Source organism: Homo sapiens, chromosome 4 (genome assembly GCF_000001405.40).
Source record: "Homo sapiens chromosome 4, GRCh38.p14 Primary Assembly".
In the NCBI taxonomy this organism is placed as follows: Eukaryota; Metazoa; Chordata; class Mammalia; order Primates; family Hominidae; genus Homo; species Homo sapiens.
The window spans coordinates 43,343,385-43,350,084 of NC_000004.12; positions in this window are offsets into that span (position 1 = coordinate 43,343,385).

Genomic DNA, 6,700 nt, shown 5'->3' on the forward strand with positions numbered 1-6,700 from the left:
CAACCAAGTGATTTTCTTTCCTTCCTTCCTTCCCTCCTTCCTTCCTTCCTTCCCTCCCTCCCTTCCTCCTTCCTTTCCTTCATTCCTCCCTCCCTCCTTCCATCCATGCCTTCTTCTTTCCTTCCTTCCCTTTTTCCTTCCCTTCCTTCCTCCCTTCTTTCCTTTTTCTTTCTCTTTTTTTCCTTTTTCTTTCTTTCTCTCTCCTTTCCTTTTCCCTTTTTCTCTCTTTCTCTTCTTCCTTCCCTCCCTCCTTCCTTCCTTCCCTCCCTCCTTCCTTCCTTCCCTCCCTCCTTCCTTCCTTCCCTCCCTCCTTCCTTCCTTTTTCCTTCCTCCCTCCCTCCCTTTTTTCTTTCCTTTTTCTTTTTTCTTTCTCTTTTTCTTCTTTTTCTTTCTTTCTTTCTCTCTCTCCTCTTTTTCTTTTTTTCTCTCTCTCCTTCCTTCCTTTTTTCCTTCTCTCTCTCTCTCTTTACCATATTGCACTACCTTTTATCATCACATTTGATTTGATAATAAAGGATAATCAAATAAAAAGGTGAAAATTGCTAGATTTTTGATAATTTCTTCTAGTAATCATCACAGTATGTTCGTTTTGTTTTTGTTTTTGTTTTTGTTTTTGTTTTTTTTGACAGAGTCTCGCTCTGTCTCCCAGGCTGGAGTGCAGTGGCGTGATCTCAGTTCACTGCAACCTCCGCCTCCCGGGTTCAAGCGATACTCCTGCCTCAGCCTCTCGAGTAGCTGGGACTAGAGGCACAAGTCACCATGCCCAGCTAATTTTTTAAAATATATTTTTAGTAGAGACGGGGGGGGGTTCACTGTGTTAGCCAGGATGGTCTCGATCTCCTGACCTCGTGATCTGCTGCCTCGGCCTCCCAAAGTGCTAGAATTACAGGCGTGAGCCACTGCACCCAGCCTTATATTTGTTTTTTAATAGCTGTACATCGTACCATCCATAGCATCTGCTAATACCACATTCTGCCAAAACAACCCAGTCAGAAATCTCCCAGAGGAGGTATTGTGTCCAGGTATTTTAACTACACAAACCCATGCATTCTGATGATTGCTGCTGTATTTTCTTCTCTTGTTGGAAGACTGCGATTGATAAGATCCGACTCCTTTGGTTAGTAGTTAGCCTGCACAGGGCGGCAATAATGCCCTGTTTGCTTATCGTAAGAGTTTGCTGCTTACGAATTGCTTATTTCTCTTAGAAGCTCTTCTCCACCACATCCAGTTCTGCAGTATCCTTCCGATGTCATTTGTCTGTAGTTCATCAGCCCCCGGCTTTTCTCCCAGCTCAAGATCCTTTTCCAAGCAACCCTCCATGATACAAGGTTTTTTTTTTTTTTTTTTTTTTTTTACTTTTTGCCTCTGCAGTAACATGGTTCCATTTGCTCCTTTTCCTGTTCTTTCTCTGCTTGCAGGCCTCTGATGGGGCAAACATACAGTGGGAAGCATTCCCTTAGAGAAGTAACTTCAGATCTGCTTTTGTGATACTTAAGTGAGCTTACCGTTACTTTTTAGCGGGATGTTGTAAAATTCTCAAATAGTTCCTCTATAAAAGAATGTCTTATAAGGCTGTTGGTAGTATAAAGTATTAATGTGAAATAAAATAAATAATAGATTGTGAAAATTTTTGAAAGGACAGTTTTACTGATCTTTTGTTTGAAATGATTAATATCCCTTTCCATATGCCCACTTGAATTTCAAGGAAAGACTTAAGTTTCTCATAGACTTTAGCTTATATGCTATTATATATACCATTTGGGAAAAAAGTTTAACTCTAGTACATAGCTTTCTATGTCTTTTATGAAAATACTATATGCAATTTCAAATATTTAAATTAATTTTATGGTATCAGTAAAATATATGAAGTTAAAGGAAAATTTCTCAAACTCTACTTTTTACAAAAGTTGAAGCCTGTGGCTAAAATTACCTTTATGTGGCTTATTCAGAAGTGGTGGCAAAATGTTTAAAAATATGATCTTCCTCTTTGCAGAGACTGTGAAAGATAATCTTAAAGAGGCACTCACGAAACACAAGCTCCTTCTCCGGGAAAAAGAATCATCACCCTTGTTATCCCATGAAAATTCATCTTCTCCTTTTCAGCTGATATGAGGACTTGATCTGTCCTTTCCTATAAGTGCCATCTGTGTTTAAATGAGGCTGTTACTCTAACTCAAAGCAGACTTGCAAGAGTAAAATAATCAATCTTCATCATATTGCTGCACTTTCGACAGTTAATTTTCTAGAGTAATTTGTCATTGTGAGGAGCATAAGATTTGTCTGAATTTGTGTCAAAGGTTATTGACTGAATTGCCACCTCATCTTTTCAGTCAATCTATAAATATGGGCAAGTTTGGGCAGAGGCTAATGGCCTTCTCACTAAGGGGATGAGATTGTCCAAGTTAGGCAACTGATAAGAGGTAGAAATATCTATTGTGTCACCCATTTCTTGTGGTAGCATTGACTTAGAGTTAATCTCAGAAACTTCACTTAACCTTCTTAATCCTTTTCTTCCTGTAAAACAAGGCTAAAAATTGTCATAACTATATTCTAGTTTCCACAAAAGCTAATCTAAGTATTAAAATTTTTATTGTGACTTTGTGAGAGTGATCCTGTATTTTTCACAAAACTAAGAAGAAAATATTTTTATTTAGTGTTTTTCTATGAATAGCTTTTGGTTTTTGGAAAAACCATCTGATCTTTATTACTAAGATTCTTGCTTCTTAGGTCAAATTCTTGTTCCCTGTCTTTATATAGAGTCTAATATTGGGAACATACCCAAGGACCACATGGATAATTTTATGATGCTTGCTGACTATTATGTTTCTTGCCCACTTTAATAGCCTAATAATAATAGTTACGAATTCTTATTGAGAAATAGCCATTCTTAATCAATGCCAATGACAGTGTTTCCTCTTTCAGACTGAAGGAAAAACAGGGAGAAAACCAGTTCATATATTATGGTTAAACACTGATAAAACATTTTGGTTAAATATCTGCCTTCATGGGTTATTGCAAAATAGATTAGTTTAAAGCTCATCTAGCCCTGAAATATACAGTTAGATTATTTTTTATGGATTTCAATTATTTTTATTTCATTACAGTTATTTTTTTTTCAATACATGGCCTGTTTGAAGATACATCATAGTAATGGTAACAGCAGCAACCACTGCAGTAAATAACTGACAATTGCTGAACAATTCATGTCTGCCATGCCATGCTATGAGGGCCTTAAGGAATAAATACAACTTATATTCATAATAAACATAGGAGGTTGTAGAAGGCTAAATAATGGGTCACCAAAGATACCCACATCCCATAATTCCTGTAACTGGTGACTATGTTACCTTGCATGGTAGAAGGGATTTTGCAGTTGAGGTTAAGGTTAAAGACTTTATAAAGGCAGATTATCTTGGATTATCTGGGTGGGTCTTTAAAAGCGGAAGAGAAAAGCAGAAAAGCAAGTCAGACAGACAGATGCAACTACAGAAGAGACAGTAGGGACTCAACTCAAATGACTAACTTTGAAGATGGAGGAGGTGGTCCATGAGGCAAGGAATGCACTTGCTTCTAGAAGCTGGGAATAACCCACAGCTAGAAGCAAAGTAGGAAATGGAAGTCTCAATTCTACATCGTAAGGAAGTGAATTCTGCCAATAACTTGAAAGAGAAGGAAATAGATTCCCTCCAGAGGCTCTAGAAAATAATGTATCCCTGCTGACACCTTAATTTGATTTGAGCCCCATGAGACCCACGTTGGACTTCTGACTTATGGAGCTTGTAAGATAATAAATTTGCATTGTTTCAGCCACTACATTTGTGGAAATTTGTTACAACCACAATAGGAAACTCATAGAATAGTAATCACTAGTAATATCTTCATTTAACAGTTGAGGAAATTGAGGCAGGACAACACAAGTTATAAAAATTATCTCAGTTCTTAGTAGAGTTCCTGGCATATGACAAGCAGTTAATGTCTTTGTAGAATGAATGAATGAATAAATAAATAGATTTTTTCTTATGCTTTCCCAAACCAATGTATATTTAATTCTGTCTTTAACTAGATATTTTCCTAATGGAAATACTTTTACTAGTCAATGAAACTACAGACCTATAAAGTTCAATCACTGCTCTCTGAGAGTGCAGAAAAAATGACCGCTCAACAACGTATAATATATTTGAAGAGTAACATGGGGGGCCATCAGAAGTTGAGTAAGAGTATACATTAATTATTCAAGACAAAAATACAAGCAATATTTTAATATAGTATCTGTGTAATTGGAAAATATATAAATCACTTTTGACCTTCTCAATATCAACTAAGGTCAAATAAACAATTTCCCCCATTCTGAAACATGCTGTACAGAGTTGTCCATGTGAGAAAGAGCTCAATTGCTACCTTCTGTCTGCAATTCAGAGCATCTATATTTTTCAGTTTGGATTTGAAAATTTAAAACCATATTTGAAACTTTGATACGGTTTCTCTCCCAATGATCTTAACACCAATGACATCCTATAGACAAGAACTTTGTTTTACTTCCATTGCAGGTGTCCAGAGGAATGACTGCCTCTCTCTGTAAGATACTTCCGAGTTCTTCTTCCATCCGTAGTTAATTGTCTTATGCCACACAGTATAGAAGTTAGACCAGATTTCGCATATCCTCCAGAGTGAGTGCAAATCAGTGCTTCAGTTTCTCGTTCTCTGAAGGATGACAGCCTAGCCCTTAGGAAAGGTTTTCTTAAAGTCCTAAGCTTGTATAGGGCATCTAGCCTATAGTATCACTTCACAGACATAACAACTAAATATGGTGAAAGTCTTCCCAAGTTATTCCAAGTAATATAACAACAGACAAAAACAATGTTTATTTAAATGGACATAATATTTACATGATTTTGGGAAAAGTTGAGATCACTTCACCTTAGATGATAAAATAAAAGACAATCCAAAGAAGTGGAAATAGACTTAGGTCTTGGAGTATGTATAAAATTTAATTAAGGTAAAGAGAGGAAAGTGGACTATTCAGATGGAAGAAATGTAAGGATAAAAGTAGGTTGTGAGAAACTTCAAGGTGTTTAGAGGATCACAAACAGACCAGTTTAAACAGAACTAATTTTCAATTCATGAGAATTATAGGAAATAAGCCTGAAAAGTTATGTTGGCACCAGATTGTAGAAAGCATTGAATGTTAAATAAGGAATCTGAACCAAAGCTCAAGTTATTTAGTTTGTTCAAAAGTTGAGCAGTGTTACACTGAAAGCATGTTCATATGTTCAAAAAGTGTTAAACAGTATTCATTTTAAAATATGAGTGGCATTTAAATTCATAATGAATGCTTTCTGAAGACATTATAATTCCATTCAAATGACTCGATAGCATGAGTCTACATCTATAAGTTTACAAGTAGGAAGGTGAAAGTACACTTCTTTATCTATTTAAGACTTATTACTTCAGAGATCGCACATGAATCAGTGTGTGTTGAAAAGGTAATAATGGGCAAGAGACTAGGTATTCAGCAATAAATTATATTTTAGATAGACATTTATGAATGCAGTGAAGTTCAATATTTCTGTATTGAAACCTCTTGCAGCTACTGTTTTGGTTGAATATACTGTTGAGATGAAAGCCTCAGGTTTAGGTTGGCACTTCAGTTCTCCAAGGATTAATTCAGTGGTAAAAAACCAAAATCCTACTCTAGGAGAACTGATGACACATTGTGTCTAATTGACTGAGATGAAATAAATTGGCTTTTTCAAAAATGCCTGCATTGAAAATTCAAGTGTATGAATATTGCAAAAATGAGGGAAACAGGAGAAAACTTTTTTCATAAAAACAAGTCTAGCAGTTAAAAAAAAATCTTGGAGATAAATGTAAATTTCATGCTTCAAGGAAAAATCTAATAAATGTTTAACATTCTATTTCATGAGACAGACTTGTGTATGCTTTAGACACAGAGCTTAAGATAGGACAGACACTGTAAGTTAACAGTATGTTTTAACTTATTTGGAGATAGAAAATGCTCTTCCAAAATATTTAATTTTCTGTTAGTTTTGAAAAGTATTCTCCTAGACAAAGATAAACCAAAATGTAACTTTCAAGATTAATTAATAAAGAAACCCAAATTAGGCTGGGCACGGGGGCTCATGCCTGTAATCCCAGCACTTTGGGAGCCGAGGCGGGTGGATCAACTGAGGTCCGGAGTTTGAGACCAGCCTGCCCAAAATGGCGACACCCCGTCTCTAATAAAAATACAAAAAAATTAGCCGGGTGTTGTGGCGGGCTCCTGTAATCCCAGCTACTCGGGAGTCTGAGGCAGGAGAATCGCTAGAACCCGGGATGCAGAGGTTGCGGTGAGCCGAGATCGAATAACAAAAATCATTCCTCTTAAGAAAGTACCTGGTTATCTGTACTCATGCTTGTAATCCCAGCACTTTGGGAGGCCAAGGCGGGCGGATCACCTGAGGTCAGGAGTTCAACACGAGACTGACCAACATGGAGAAATCTCCTTTCTACTAAAAACACAAAATTAGCCGGGCGTGGTGGCACATGACTGTAATCCCAGCTACTCGGGAGGCTGAGGCAGGAGAAGCGCTTGAACCCAGGAGGTGGAGGTTGCGGTGAGCTGAGATCACTCTTGTGAGCAACAAGGGTGAAACTCCATCTCAAAACAAAAACAAACAAAAGAAAAACAACAAAGTACCTG